The sequence below is a fragment of the Homo sapiens genome, chromosome 17 (genome assembly GCF_000001405.40).
Source record: "Homo sapiens chromosome 17, GRCh38.p14 Primary Assembly".
NCBI lineage: Eukaryota > Metazoa > Chordata > Mammalia > Primates > Hominidae > Homo > Homo sapiens.
The window spans coordinates 55978991-55995830 of NC_000017.11; the positions used below are offsets into that span (position 1 = coordinate 55978991).

General features: G+C 41.3%; 2 annotated features.

Annotated features, from left to right (window-relative positions):
* Positions 10265-10475: a silencer, noted in NCBI's record as "fragment chr17:54066616-54066826 (GRCh37/hg19 assembly coordinates)". NCBI's record gives its function as "represses an EF-1alpha promoter that drives an FKBP-Casp9 reporter gene in an ReSE screen in K562 erythroleukemia cells {active_cell/tissue: K562}" and the evidence as "EXISTENCE:reporter gene assay evidence [ECO:0000049][PMID:32094911]".
* Positions 11220-11830: an enhancer, noted in NCBI's record as "OCT4-NANOG hESC enhancer chr17:54067571-54068181 (GRCh37/hg19 assembly coordinates)". NCBI's record gives its function as "activates a minimal SCP1, AML or CMV promoter by ChIP-STARR-seq in primed H9 embryonic stem cells {active_cell/tissue: H9 hESC(primed)}" and the evidence as "EXISTENCE:reporter gene assay evidence [ECO:0000049][PMID:30033119]".

Below are 16840 nucleotides of genomic sequence, written 5' to 3' on the forward strand. Positions count from 1 at the left end.
TTTGCTAAAGCATAGCAAGAGTGACCTTTGCTTCAATTCCCAATTAAGTTCCTCATCTCCATCTAAGACCACCTCAGCCTGGACTTCATTGTCCATATCATTATCAGCATTTTAGTCAAAACCATTCAACAAGTCTCTAAGAAGTTCCAAACTTTCCCACATCTTTCTATCTTCTTCTGAGCCCTCCAAACTGTTCCAACCTCTGCCTGTTACCCAGTTTCAAAGCTGCTTCTACATTTTTAGGTTATCTTTATGGCAGCACCCAACTCTCTACAGTACCAATTTCCTGTATTAGTTCGTTTTTGCTCTACTATAAAAAACTTCCCTGAGACTGGGTAATTTATAAAGGAAAGAGATTTAATGGACTTACAGCTCCATATCACGGGGGAGGCCTCGGGAAACTTATAATCATGGAGAAAGGGGAAGGGGAAGCAGGACCTTCTTTGCAAGGCATCAGGACAGAGAGGGAGTGTGAAGGAGGAACTACTAAACACTTTTAAAACCATCAGATCTCATAAGAAACCACTCACTATCATGAGAACAGCATGGTGGAAACTGCCCCCATGATCCAGTCACCTCCCACAAGGTCCCTTCCTCCACACATGGGGATTACAGTTTGAGATAAGATTTGGGTGGGGACATAGAGCCAATCCATATCAATTCCCAAAACTTTTAATTTTATAACTGAAATTTTGTTCCCTTTGGCCAGCATCACCCAATTTCCCCCACTCCCAGCCCCTGGAAACCACCATCCTACTCTCTACTTGCATTATTTTGACTTTTTTACATTTTACATATAAGTGAGATCATGCAGTATTTGTCTTTCTGGGTTTAGTTTATTTCACTTAGCCTACTGTCCTCCAGGTTTATCCATGTTGTCACAAATGGCAGGATTTTCTCCTTATGGATGAATAATATTCCATTGTATATGTGTACCACCATTTCTTTATCCACTCATTCATCTATGCACACTGAAATCGTTTCCATATCTTTGCTATTGTGAATAATGCTTCATTGAACATAGGAGTGCAGATATCCCTTTGAGATATTGATTTTTCCTTTAGGTATGTACCAGAAGTGGAATTGTTGAATTGTACAGAGTTCTATTTTTAATTTTTTAAGGAACCTCCATTCTGCTTTTCATAATGGCTGTACTATTTTACACTTCCATGAGTAGGGTTGGTGGGACAAGGCAGGAGAGTTCCCCTTTCCCCACACTCTTGCTAGTACTTATCTCTTTTTTCATAATGGCCATCATAACAGGTGTGAGGTGATATCTAATTGTGATTTTGATTTGCATTTTCTCAATGATTAGTGATAGTAATACTGAGCGTTTTTTCATATGCCTATTCACCATTTGTATATCTTTGGAAAAATGTCTATTCAAGCCCTTTGCCCATTTTTCGATCATGTGATTTGGCTTTTGGTGTGTTTTGTTTCTTTTTGCTATTAACTTATGTAAGTTCTTTGTATATTTTGGATATTAACCCCTTATTAGATAGAGAATATTTGCAAATACTTTCACCCATTCCATAGTTTGCATTTTTATTTTGTGGATTGGTCCTTATAACCACTTAGAAGAGATTGACAATCATCTATTACTCTCATTCTGAGTATGTCATTGGATGAAGCCTTTTAGGCAAGGGTTCTCAGGAGGCTCCTGGTAATGAGGTTGCAATGATTGGCAGCTGCTTCCTGGGACATCACTGGTTAGTATGGCTGAGTGGGGAGTCTGAGGGTACTAAACTAGAGGAAGAGAGACTGAAACTTCAGTTTCTAAATCTGACTGTGCCAGCTTCTCTCCTGACTTGAAACTGGAGAGCCATTATTGACCTTAGTTCTTCCAGCAACACCCCATCCCATCTTCCTTTAATTCCACTTTAAAAGCCCATTCTTAAACTCTTATTTCCCTCTTGGCACAACTAGTGTGTTATTCTTCACCACAAAGGCTCTCTCTACTTAGTAATTTAAAGCAGTTTACGTCAGAATGACATTAATTAGGTCAGGATCCATTGAAACCCCTTGTGAAAGATATTTTTTTTTTCTTTTTTAAATAATGAAATGCAGGGAAACTACTCTTTGTGCAGTGAACATGAGAGCTTACAGGGTTGAGGAATTCAATAAATACAGGCAGCTAGGGGTGATTAAGGACAAGTCAAATCTTTAAAAGGATAAAGTATATAGTTTCCAAAACACCCATTTCTGGGTATAGGCTGAAGACTAGTATCTTTTGCTTATAACTTGTTTTAGCAAAATTCCAGCATTTAATTATTAGTTTGGTGAATGACCACACCAGACCATTTAGTGTAACGTGACAGGCCCTGAAGGGAGTAGTCAGTAATTTGAAACACTAACCATGTGTTTTGTCTGAAAAATTAATACGTGTAGCATGATTAGAGTGGCAGGGTTCCACCAATCAAAATGTAGAAAAAAACTCCATAGTACTAATAAAGGCAGTTACTGTTCTGGCTTATGGAAGACATAATAGATGCTATATATTAATAATTCACTATGTGCCATTGCTATTAATGAATTATCTCATTTTATCTTCTTGCCCACTATACAAGCTAGATAATAACAAAAAGAGCTAATATTGTTGAGCATACACTATGTTCCACAAATTTTTACATGTGTTATTAATCTTTCCCATTCTTCATAATATGATAATATCCCTGCATTAAACATGAAAAAAACTGAGGATTTAAAAAGTGTAACTAACATTAATAGTACATGAGAGAGGCAAGACTTAAAATAAGAATTATCTAACTCTAGTGCTCATATCCTTAACAGCAACTGTATATGAAAAGATGAGTAAAATCAGACTAACCTCGAGGAAGTGGAAGATTGTGGACTAGATTTGGGCAAAGTCTTAACTGCACATATTTTAAAAAATATTAGTTCCACTCCATCATGTTTAATTACAAATAGCGTCTCCTATTAGGCTAGTCAATAGAGATCCTTGAGGATTTATTTTAATGATTACCAAGACAGACTTGTAATTGCACAGATAGATTTAAAGGGCTTGCAAAGAACTTGTTAGAAATCATAACAATAGGCAAGGTGCAGTGGCTCACACCTGTAATCCCAGCGGCAATTTAGAGACCAAAGTGGGCACATCCCTTGAGCTCAGGAGTTTAAGACCAGTGTGGGCAACATGGCAAAACTTTGTCTCCACCAGAAAAAAAAAAACAAAAAACAAAAACTTAGCTGGATGCAGTGGCACACACCTGTAGTCCCAGCTACTTGGGAGGCTAGGACGAGAGGATCACTTGAGCCCAGGAGGTTGAGGTTGCTGTGAGCCACGATTGTACCACTGCCCTCCAGCCTGGGTGACAGGGTGAAACCGTGCATCAGAAACAAACAAAAAGAAATAGTAATAAAAGTCACCATTTATTAGAGACATTATCACAAATACTGACTACAACTCTGGAAGATAGACACTAACTTATTAGATATTGATGGATTGCCTTCTCAACGAGTCATTGTCCTCCTCTCCATTTTTAACAATTTTAGTTGAACTGTCCACTTTACTTTTGTGGTTTTATGCTGCAAGTGAAGCGGGCTCAAACTGCAGCCTTATGGGTGAATCATCATGAAACTAAGCCAGTTATAATGATGCAGCCACTCTTACCAGTGATGGGCACGGCCATATAGCACAATTCTAGCTGATAAGATATGAAAAGCAGACTGCACAGGAACTCTGAAAAGGGTTGCTTCCTCATTGACTTAGAGTCCACAGGAAGAAAACATCCTCTTCCTCCACTGGTCATTGTTATGCCTGTATGTGATGCCTGGAATGACTACTACCTCTTATGACAGTAAGGGGAGTCTGACAAGCACTAAAGTGGATAGAGAGAAAATAGAGGGGAGAAAACCCCAAGGGCATGATGATGTTGAGTTGCTAATTCACCAACCCTACTTTTCTTACCTCAAAACTTCCTGCAGTGTGAGATAATAAATTTTCTGTATCAATTCAGGTAAATCAGGGTGTTGTTTGTGTGTGTGACCTGCAGCTCAAAGCTTCCTAACCGATAGATTTGTCATCCCTATGATGCTGAGATGGAAAACAGGGTTCAAGCAAATTGAGTACTTGCCTAACTTTGCATTCAATAAATGATGAAGCAGGATTTATATGGAAGTTTGTATGACCCCAGAGCCTGTGCTTTGCTGTAACACACCAGATCTTACTCTTCCCTCCATAGGCTCCGTTTGTGTTCCAAACCCCTTTCTCCCTGGGAGACTTGAGGGCAATAAAAATGAATGTTTCACTGCATGCTGAATTTCTCCATCTGCATGTGCAGATGGGGATACAGTAATGCGTAAGAAGTCTTCTCAGGTCTTCCATGACACTCTGCCAGCACACATGCTAAAAAAAACAAAAAAAAACAAAAAACAAAAAAAAAAAACCTTTCTTCAGTGCTACATTAAAATGCCTTGATGGCTTGCCGTTGTACAACTCAAGATTCCATCTCAGAAATTCTAACAAATCAATAGCAAGAAAAGAAATAACCCAATTAAAAATGGGCAAAGGACTGGAATAGACATTTCTCAAAAGAGGACATACAGATGGCCAACAGGAATATGAGAAAACACACTCGACATCACTATCATTAGGGAATGCAAATTAAAACTACAATGAAGTACCACCTCACACCTGTTATAGTGGCTATAAGAAAAAAGAGGAAAGTGTCAGCAAGAATGTGGAAAAAAAGGAACTTTTGTACATTATTGGCAGGAACATAAATTGGTACAGTTACTATGGAAAACAGTATGGAACTTCCTTAAAAAAATAAAATTAGAACTACCATATGACCCAGCAACCCCACTACTGGGTATATCTCCAAAGGAAATGAAATCAGTATGTCAAAGAGATATCTGCACTCCATGTCCATTGCAACATTATTTACAACACCCAAGATATTGAAACAACCTAAGTTGTTCATCAATGAATGAATAAAGAAAGAAAATGTGATACATATACACAAAGTAAAACTATTCAGCCTCTAAAAATGAAGAAAATCCTAACATTTGTGGCAACATGGATGAATCCAAAAGACATTATGTTAAGTGAAATGAACCATGCACAGAAAATTAAATATGACATGATCTCACTTATATGTATAATCTAAAAATTCAGACTCCTAGAAGTAGAAAGTAGAATAGTGGTTATTAGAGCTGAGGTTGGAGGAAAGGACTGGAGAGATATTGATCAAAGGAGATAAAATCTCAGTTATCCAGGAGGAATCAGTTTAAGAGACAGGAGGAATAAGCTTAAGAGATATATTGTACAACATGATAATTAAAGTTAAGAGTAATGTATTTTACTCTTGAAAATTACTAAAAGAGTATTTTGGGTGTTCTCCACACAAAAAAATGAGATGTATATGAGGCAAATATATTAATTAGCTTGCTTTAGTCATTCTACAATATACACCTATTTCAAAACATCATATTATATACTGTAAATATATATAATTTATATATGTCAAGTAAAAAATAATAACAAATTTAAAAATCTGAATTTAAAAAATACTCCCTGTCTCCTTATCAGTACCTACAAGGCCCAATCAATCTGGCCTCTATTTTCCTCATCTTTTTCTACCCAGACAGCCTCATGATGGAGGACTCAGTACAAGTCATTTCTCATTTCTTCCAAGTACATTCTCCTTCCCCCCTTTGAGCTTCTGCAAGTTCGATTTCCTCCACCTTGACTACTCTTATTTCTCTTCTTTACTGACATACTTCCTTCTCATCCTTCAGGTCATATTTTGACATCACTTTTTGTCCTCTTTTAAGTCTTCTAATTCTCCTTTAAATCACTTATCACAGTGATATTTGCTTAATTTATCTAAATATTTACTTGTTTAATGCCCGCCCTCCCCCCAAAATTGCAAGCTATAGAATGGCAGAGGCTGTGTTGATCTTACTAAACACTACCTTCTCTGGCTCTTAGCCTGAAGAATTGAATTTGGGGTATACTCAATAAATATCTATTGAGTGAGTGAATGATGAATGAAGAAAGCCCTCTACTGCTTGTTCATATAGGGAGAAAGGAGTGATCATGGGTCTGCTTAGATGGGAAACTGGGAGAAGCACATTGTATTAGTCTGTTCTCATGCTGCTAATAAAGATATACCTGAGACTGGGTAATTTATAAAGGAAGAGGTTTAATTGACTCACAGTTGCGCGTGGCTGGGGAGGCCTCAAAATCATGGTGGAAGGCAAAGAGGAGCAAAGTCATGTCTTACAGGGTGGCAGGCAAAGAGAGTGTGTGTAGAGGAACCCCATTTATAAAACCATCTTGTGACACTTATTCTCTGTCATGAGAACAGCATGGGAAAGACTTGCCCGCATGATTTCATTACCTTCCACTGTGTCCCTCCCATGACATGTGGGAATTATGGGAACTACAATTCAAGATGAGATTTGGATGGGGACTCAGCCAACCCATATCACACATATATGTATATTTTTTCCACACTCTAAATCTGGCCTAGTCTTACAACATTGTCTGCCATGCCCCTATTCTAATCTACCATCATCTTCCCTTGAACCCACACACTGCCCCGCTTCTTAGGAACCTGGCTTTCAGTCATGCCTTTTAAACTCACATTCATCCAGTATACACCAGTTCATTCTCCACACAACAGCTACAGTGATATTTAGCAGATCATGTCATTGCTCACTCTTCACTTTACTTTGACAAGTGGAGCAAGATCCAATGTTCTTCAAAGTTCTACATAATTTGACTGTGCCTACCTGTCATGCCTCATCTTCCACCAGCCTCTCCCTGGCTCACCATGTTGCATTCACTCTGGCCTGTTTCTGTTCCCCAAGCACACTCATCAAACCTTTTGCTCCTGATATATATTCTCTGCCCCAGACCTATGCAGGGCTGCCTAATTATCAGTAGGCACTATCACTCAGATTCCATGACTAAAGTATTCCTCAGCCTTTACAAGCTCTGCCCCATTACTCTATTGTATTTTCTTCATATCTCCCTCATTGTCTGAAAAAATATTTTTATTTGTTGATTTAGGAATTTATTGTCTGTTTCCCACTACTAAAATAGAAGCTGCTTGAGGGCCTGCATCTCATCAGTCTTGCTGTCTATGTATGTACATCACTTTGAATTATGCCTAGCACACAGGAAGAACAAAACAATAATTTCCCAAATGAATAGATGAATGAGTGCACTCAAAGAGGTGAGTTATTGCACAGTTAGGTTCAGATTTGACAAATATTTATTGTGCCATTCAAGCAAGAATGCCATGTAGGTATGGAAATTGCAAACATGATTATGATCCACTTCACCCTCAAAGTGCCCAAATACTGTACTAAGGATTGCTGTATGAAGGAATGTTCTCATATGGTATAAGTGTTGTAGTAGATGCATACAAAAAAACAAAAAAGCACTTGGGGCCCTAGATGGCAATGATCATGTCTCCTTTCAAGAATCAGGACAGGCTTCCCAAGGGAACTCTTGAGGATGAGTAGGAGTTTTCCAAATCATTTTTGGGATATCTCAGCATTTCAAGAAAAGATAAATGAGTGTCCAAGGAAGTAGAGTCATATATCAAGTTGGTGTGTTGGGAAAACTGATGGGTTTTCCATGGCTGGAATGTAGAGTTTGTGAGTAAGGAGAAGTACAAGCTAAGCTGGAGAATAGATAAAACAGAAGTCCACTCAATATTCTGTCATCCCTCTACAAATAGTGCCCCTTCCACTGGAATAACTCTCCACTCCATGTGGCCCTTGTGTAGCCTCTATCAATAACCGTACAAGGCTTTCTGGCTCTAGAATAGGGCTTGTGATGCATTTATAACCATCTTAGTTCACTAATCCCCTGCATACAGTGATTTGCCAAGGAGCGATCAGGCTCTTCCCTGATATTTTATATACAGATACCAGTAGAAAGTGGCTTTATTCTTTTCCTGAGGTCATTAAGCTGGGATAATATTAAGCTAGAAAAGTCTACGGCCATGTATTCTGCCCCCACTTTTTTCACTTCCCCATTACAAAAGACTAAAAGAGTTTGAGACATAGAAAAGAGAGAGAGGGAGAAGAGAGCACCGGACATATATAGAGGTCCATATATAGAGACAGCATTTGGATTCTCAGAAGCCTCAGAGCCAGTTCCATCCCCTAAACACTCTAGTTATTATATAAACCGGTATATTTCTTTTTGTTTGTACTAGTTTGTGGTGTATTTATGGCAATTGCACCCAGAGTATTGAAAAACATACTGTGGTGTTTAGGTTAATGTAGATTATAGGAAGAAAAGAGATTGGGAGAAAATGTAATATATTTACTCTTGGACATGCTAAGTTTGAGATGCTTATGGGAACACCCAGGCACAGATGTCCAAGGGGTAATTAAACATATGATCCTGTTATTCAAAAGAAAGGAATGATCTGGCAATATAAATTTAGAGCCTGTTGGGATAAATTTGATTGTTGCAGATACAGGCCTTTATAAAATAATTTATGGAAAGTATGGAGAGCAATAGAAAATAGAAACCAAGGAAAAAGCCCTAGGGAACAATCTCTTGAAGGAACATGGGTAGATGAAGAGAAGAGCTTCAAGGCTACTGAGACAATGTCTGAGAGGGAAGAGAATAAGGAGAGAGGGGACTTCCAGAAGCCAGAGATGTAAATTATTCCAAAGAGATTGTTCTGGATAAGAATCCTAAATGATGCAGAAGTGGAGTATGATAAGGTCTGTATTCATTAGGTACATGCTACAATGACAAATTAACTCCAAAACCCCCTTGGCTTAAGAAAACAAAGGTTTACTTCTTACTTGTATTATACGGCCATTGCTGGTTGATACTCCATGTTGTTACTCAAGGACCTGGGACGGCTGAGGCTTCCCCATCTTATAACCACAGCATATGGATCCTGAACCATCCTAGCCACTGGGATGGAAGAAAAGAGGCTGGAGACCACACATGAGCACATCACTGCCTCCATCTAAAAGAGAATAGGAGAAAATGTAACATATTTACTCCCGGACACGCTAAGTTTGAGATGCTGAGATATTGCTGAGACAATGCTGACACAATGTCTTGGCACACATTTCACTGACCAGCACTAGTCACATGATTCTGACTGTTTACAAGGAAACTAAGAAATGTAAGGGACACAATGGGATTTTGGATGTGGTGAGCACTACTGTCTCCACCACAGAAACAAAGAAGTAACTTTTGGATTTGTCTTATCCATAGGTCTTTGGTGATTTTAACAGGAGCACATTCACTGGAGCAATGAGGCTGGAAACCAGGACCATGTTAGGTGCTTTTATAGACTTCAGTATACTTTAACACATTTAATTGTGACATAATCCTGTGAAACAGGTATTAATGTTGACATTTTACAAAAGGGGACACTGAGGCTCAGTAAATGTTACTCAGTGACTGGACTATTAGCTATTTACTGTTTGCTAAGTGTCAAAACTGGGGATTCAGCAAAACAGAGACACATCCCTGACTTCATGGAGCTTATGATCGTGTACAATATACAAGCAAATATGAAATTACAGCTCTGGAGCATGCTGGAAATGAAGCTCCAAGATGCTGTACATGGGAGCCAATAACTAGCCTGGCACAGGGATGAATGAATGCTTCACCAGGTGGGTGATGAGTCAGAGTTCAGCACGCAGAGTTGTGGGGTTGGGGTGACAGTGGCGTATCCATTCTTCAGATAGAGGAAAGAGTATGTGCAGGGCATTATGTCACATGAGCGGAGTTTGAGGTACTAAAAGGCCAGTGTGCCTGAATCATAAAGAACCAGGAGAAGGAAGCATGATGTAAGATGCAGCTTAAGAGGTGACATGAGACAGGGCTGCCCTGATTCCTGTGGGCTAAGTTGAAGATAGTAAAGCCATCTAATATCTCAGCAGAAGTCTGTTGGCTTGCTTGTCTCTCCAGAATTCATTGTCTCAAATAATCAGACCAAAGTCACAGAGATATGCTAAGACTCTAACCCAAGTCCAGCCTCCTCGAAGCTGGTCCACCTCTCTTCACTAAACTCCAGCTGCCTCTACAGAGAAAACAACACCAAGTTCAGCTGGAGATGAAGCAAGTGTTGATAGACAAGTTCTGTGTTGGCATTACCGAGACAGGTGTTCCTATTATCACTTAGTGTCCCTCCCACAGGAAATCTCACACACAACTCACAAATAGATGACCCATTTGCTGTGCGTGTCAGACATTTTCTCCTCCTTTCTCCTCTCTTCCCAGAGGGAAGGACTCACAGGGGTTCAGGGAAGTAATTTTATCAGGTTTCAAGGCTTCTCATTTTTGTTCATCAGCTTTCCCAGCACATGAAGAACAGTGTTTATCTGATTTTTCAAGGGCTGCATTTGGGGGAGTTTGCTTCATTCGCCTGCAACTCTGAAGTCATTCCGGCTGGTGTACGAAAACCTTGCTGCTGGATTTAGCTTGGTCTCCCATGAGTTAAAATCAGACTGGTGAAAACTAGACAGAAGTGCTGAGGGGGTGGAATGGAAGAAGAGGTGACTTTTGCTATTGAGATATTTTTGTTAATGTGAATTTTGAAGTAAACATCATCTTTGTTCCTTTCCCCTCTCTTACTTCTGTAAAGAAAGATAGAGAAGGATAACCTTACTCTTTAGGAGCTGTACTGACAAAAGTAACAAGAACATATCCTGCCCTGCAAGAGTAGCATTCTATTTATCAGTCTAATAAGGTGGGAACGTGCCTTGAAGTCTGCTTCCCCACCACAGGTCCCTAAATCTTGTTTCAAAAAGTTGCAGGTTCCCAGACAGCTGTGCTTTAGAGCACTGATCACTACCCTCCTTCCCTGCCACCTCCTAAGCATTTTGGTGGTTTTTTGCTCTAGCTTTTCAATCAAATCTATGAATTTAAACATCACTCCAATAAGAATTTTTCAGAATGCCTTTTTCTTCAGCAGGGAAACTTCAGAGAAACGACTTTGACTCTCATACAAACAGATGCCCCATGAGAAAATAATTGTAAAATGGGGTGACATTTGAACTTGTACTTATTTATTCAAGAATGAAACCACATAGACCTGAGATGTAACTGGGATGGGATAGCACAGTACTTCAGAGTGGAGGGCTTTGCAAAGGGCTCCTTGAGCACTGATCCTTTATCTGTTAGTGATTAACTGTTTAACAATAGACAAGGCTACAGGAAAGTACTATGTCAATCCTCGGTTTCCTCAGCTCAAGGTCTTGGTAGTTAATAAGATGATTCAAGTAAAGAGACTAACACCATGCCGGGCATAGCTCTTGTGACTTTGGCAATTCTGAAGTGGCGTTTAAGCTTCAGAATGCATTTTATATCCTGCTATTTCATCATCAACCATTTCTGTTTTCAGCCAACATTAATTGATCACCTAGTGCTGATCATGTAGATTCTGGAATTTGACGGTACTTTGGCTCCCAGCCCTCCAGGTGTTCACAGCCAACCTGAGTGCACTGACACACCTGTGGGCCAGGAAGTCTGCACTTCCTTATGCTGCCTCCTCCCACCTCTCTCAGAGCCATCATGAGCACCCGGCTGTGTCCTAAACCCTGCTGCGTCAGCCCCTGTTGTGCGAGCATCTTAGGTATGTGATGAACACAGGCATGGATAAGGAGGGTTCCCACAAAGAACAGTTGGTACCAGGACAGTGACCATAAGCAGCTGAGTTTCCCTAGTGTTGTGCTGTTATCTCTCAAGTAGGAGAGCCAGGCAGAAGAGCCACGGAGCCACTCTGAAGTCTCTGGCCTCCCCCCGCTGTCTGCTGACGTGATGAGGGAAGGGAAGGGACAGACAGCACTAGCCTTCTGTCACCAGATTATTTATAGTCGGCTTTTCCTTTGAAGTCCTCGCTGCACCCTCCACAGCCTCCACTACAGCTTGCCACATGGAGTGTGGTGATGGACACCAGCAAAGTGGCACTGTGGGGAGCAAACTTCTCTCTGTTGTGCTCAAGGGAGACTGCTCGAGGAGCTCCTCCTGAAACATCCCCTGAGACTGAACAAAGCCCCTCGCTGAAGTCTGCCAGAACAATGCTCCAGGCAGTTGCCATTCTTTCACTTTTTAGGGGAAAAGCAACAGAGCCTCTTTCCAGTAGGTCATCTGTCCATTTTTTTCTCCCTGTGGCTTTGACGTTGGGTTATCTGTGGGTTCTCCTTGCTGCTCTGTTTTCTTTGGTTAGTAAGTCCTCCTTTTATCATTAAAAAAGAAGGAATGAAACATAATAGATTGAAGGCAGAGCTTTTGGCCACCTGTCCTGAGGAATCAGAACACAAGGCAGCAACCCTGTGTGGCCCAGTCCTGCAATAAGCACTAGGGAGGCACAGATGAATGCATGCAGACACCTTTCCTCTCTCCCTCACACACACAACATGGCTTTCATAGGCGACAGTCTTAGTCACTCTTATTTCATTTGCTGTCCCACTTTGACCCCTGGTACCTAAGCCTACCTTCCTCACACATTCTCAGAAGCTTCTGCCTCTCACCTATGGCTTCATCTTCCTCCTCCAGCTTCATTTAGGTCTCTGAAACTTGATCATGGCTATGTTTCTAGACCAGATCTATACTGAGCTTTAAGACAGTCTCTTTTTTTTTCTACCTAGTATCAGGACTCCTGACCCTGGACCTACCTGGGACTGATTCAGAAGGTTTGCCCAGGTCTCATCAAATAGGGGGTGGAGCAGTGAGACCTAACACCTGCCTTCAGGAGAGACACAATCTGGTAGGAAGCAGCGGCTCACCCATTTTAAAAGAATGTGATAAGAACCACACTCGAGGAGTGGTTAAAGCAGTTTCCCAAATTGGGGTCCCTGTGGCACCTGAGTCAGAATCACCAGAGGCACTAGTTATAAGATACACATTCCTGAGCCCTACCACCAAACTAAGGACTCAGTATCCACATTTTAAATAACTTTCTTATGTAGATCCCATGAAAATAAAATGTGAAAACCATGTATTTTAAAAATACTGGCAACCAGTGGTATTGTTACTGAAACTTTAAACATACCCTGTATTAGTCCATTTTCACTCTGCTGATAAAGACATACCTGACACTGGGTAATTTATAAAGAAAAAGAGGCTTGATGGACTCACAGTTTCACATGACTGGGGAGGCCTCACAATCATGGCAGAAGGCAAAAGTCACATCTTACATGGCAGCAGGCAAGAGAGAATGAGAGCCAAGTGAAAGGGGAAACCCCTTATAAAACCATCAGATCTTGAGAGACTTACTCACTATCATGAGAACAGTATGGGGGAAACCACCCCCATGATTCAATTATCTCCCACTGGGTCCCTCCCACAACATGTGGGAATTATGGGAGCTAGGAGCTGCACTTCAGATGATATTTGGGTGGGGACAGAGCGAAACCATACCATTCTGGCCCTGGCCCCTCTCAAATCTCATGTCCTCACATTTCAAAATGAATCATGCCTTCCCAACAGTCCCCCAAAGCCTTAACTCATTTCAGCATTAACTCAAAAGTCCACAGTCCAAAGTCTCATCTGAGACAAGATAAGTCTCTTCCACCTATGAGCCTGTAAAATCGAAAGCAAGTTAGTTACTTCCTAGATACAATGGGGGTACAGGCATTGGGTAAATACAGCCATTCAAAATTGGAGAAATTGGCCAAAACAAAGGAGTTACAGGCCCCATGTGAATCTGAAATCCAGTGAGGCAGCCCAATCTTAAAGCTCCAAAATGATCTCCTTTGACTCTGTGTCTCATATCCAGGTCACACTGATGCAAGAGGTGGGTTCCCATGGTCTTGGAACCCACCCTTGTGGCTCTGCCCCTGTGGCTTTGCAGGGTACAGCCTCCCTCCAAGCTGCTTTAATGGGCTGATGTTGAGTGTCTGCAGCTTTTCCAGGCATACGGTGCAAGCTGTTGGTGGATCAACTTTTCTGGGGCCTGGAGGATGGTGGCCCTCTTCTCACAGCTCCACTAGGCAGTGCCCTAGTGGGGACAGTGTGTGGGGACTTCAACCCCATATTTCCCTTCTGCACTGCCGTAGCAGAGGTTCTCCATAACGGCCCCATTCCTGGAGCAAACTTCTTCCTGGACATCTGGGCATTTCCATCCATCCCCAAAATCTAGGCAGAGGTTCCCAAACCTCAATACTTGACTTCTGTGCACCTGCAGGCTCAACACCATGTGGAAGCTGCCAAGGCTTGGGGATTGCACCCTCTGAAGCCATGACCCGAGCTGTACCTTGGCCCCTTTTAGCCATGGCCAGAGTGGCTGGGACTCAGGGCACCAAGTCCCTAGGCTGCACACAGCAGGGGGGCTGTAGGCCCTGCCCATGAAACCATTTTTTCCTCCTAGGCCTCTGGGCCAGTGATGGGATGGGCTGTCTTAAAGGTCCCTGACATGCCCTGGAGACATTTTCCTCATTGTCTTGGTGATTAACATTTGGCTCCTCATTAGTTATGCATACCTAACTAACCTAGTCTGCAGCCAGCTTGAATTTCTCCTCAGAAAATGGGTTTTTCTTTTCTATCGCATCCTCAGGCTGCACATTTTCTGGGCATTTATGTTCTGTTTCCCTTTTGAACTTGAATGCTTTTAAAAAAGCCCAAGTCACCTCTTGAATGCTTTGCTGCTTAGAAATTTCTTCCACCAGATACTCTAAATCATCTCCCTTAAGTTCAAAGTTCCACAAATCTCTAAGGCAGGGGCAAAATGCTGCTAGCCTCTTTGCTAAAACACAGCAGGAACCATCTTTACTCCGATTCCTAACAGGTTCCTCATCTCTTTCTGAGACTGCCTCAGCCTGGATTTCATTGTTTATATCATTATCAACATTTTTGTTAAAGCCATTCAACAAGTCTCTAGGAAGTTCCATTTTCCTGTCTTTTTCTGAGACTTCCAAACTGCTCCAACCTTTGTCTGTTACCCAGTTCCAAAGTCACTTCCACATTTTGGGGTATCTTTAGAGCAGCGTCCCACTCTCCCAGTACCAATTTACTGTATTAGTCTGTTTTCACACTGCTGATAAAGACATACCTGAGACTGGGTAATTTATAAAGAAAAAGAGGTTTAATGGACTCACAGTTCCATGTGGCTGGGGAGGCCTCACAATCATGGCAGAAGGGTAAAGGCACGTCTTACATGTTGGCAGACAAGAGAGAATGAGAACCAACTGAAAGGGGAAATCCCTTATAAACCTATCAGATCTTGTGAGACTTACTACTATGAGAACAGTATGGGGGAAACTGCCCTCATGATTCAGTTATCTCCCACTGGGTCCCCCCACAACATATGGGAATTTTGAGAGCTACAATTCAAGATGAGATCTGGGTGGGGACAGAGCCAAATAATATCATACCCTAAGAAATAACAGCAAGTAGGAAAACCTTATTTGACCAGCTAAGAAGGAACTCAGAGGCTTTGGGAAAATTACTCTTCTGGGCTTCAGTGGTCTCACCTCTGTTAGGAGAGGGTTGGTTTAATTTGTCTCCCAAGTTCCTTCCAGGTCAATTTGCCTCTAAGGCTAGGATTCTGTCAGAAGGGTGGTTTCTAAGCATAAGACTAGGAAAAGGACTCACGGCAGTTTTAAAGTCAGGGTGGGAGGCAGAGACGAGATAAGAGTGGGGCTGTGACATCATTAATTTTGAGACACAGGGAGGGGTATGAAAATAGATAATTCAGCTTTGTAACTTTATTTTTATTATTGTTTGAGACAGGGTCTCACTCTATTGCCCAGGCTGGAGTGCAGTGGCACCATCATAGCTCACTGTCACCTCAAGCTCCAGGCTCAAGCAATCCTCCTGCCTCAATCTCCCAAAGCACTGAGATTACAGGCATGAGGCACCATGCCAGCCACAACTTTGTAATTTTCGTTAGCTTTGTATAAATACTTGTTAAGGGACCCTTCTGCACCTTAATTTTGCCTTTTGAAAAAAGGGACAAATGAAGGCTGTTGTCTGACATTCTTTAAAAGTACATAGTACAGAACCCAGCACTCTGCAGGTGTTCAATACGTGGTGAATATTATCATCACACAGTGTAGTATTGAGGATTAACAAAATTATGTTGCAAGATCCCTGGGATAAGTTATGGCAGAAAATAGATCCTCAGACAATAAGTATCCTTTTTTCCAATGTGCTAGAAACATATTATATTGGATTATTTAATTCAACAAATATTTATTGAGCGCCTAGTCTCTGGGAGGTATCTGGGGTACAGTGGTTACTGAGATGACCATGGTCTCAACCAACATTATGGTCTTGGTAGAGATATAGACAAGTAAAGGGATTATTAACACACTGTGTAATTGATGGCAAGCCATAAGAAAAACAAGGTATTGTAGACAGAAGAGGGTACTGCAGTATACCAAGCTTGTGAAGAAGAACAGGTGAAAAGACTCAGAAGAAAGAGGGAGTATGACACAGCCAGGGAAATAAAAAAGGTTAGAGAAATAGGAGGGGCCAGTTCACAAAAGACCGGGTAAGTCATGCTGTTTACTGTTTCACTTAACCTAAGGGTTATGGAGAATCACTGGTGTGTTTTAGGACACTCACACTGATAGTAAGGTGGAGAAGGAACTGGGTATAAAACCAGAGGCAGGGACTTCAAGCAGGAAACTGATGCAGTAATCCTGGTAAAAGACAGTGGCTGTAGGAGTAAATAAAAACAGACAGATTCCAGGCATATTTAAGAAACAGAACCCATAGAACCCATGATTGATTTTATTTTCAGGGGGAGGGGGTATAGGGAAGTAGTATCTTAGGGTTAGTCCATTTGTTTCTCTGATGATCAAAGTGAAACTTCCACAACTTTTCATTAACTATTGGTGAAGGCTGACCTATATTGAAAATTGCAGATTGTATATT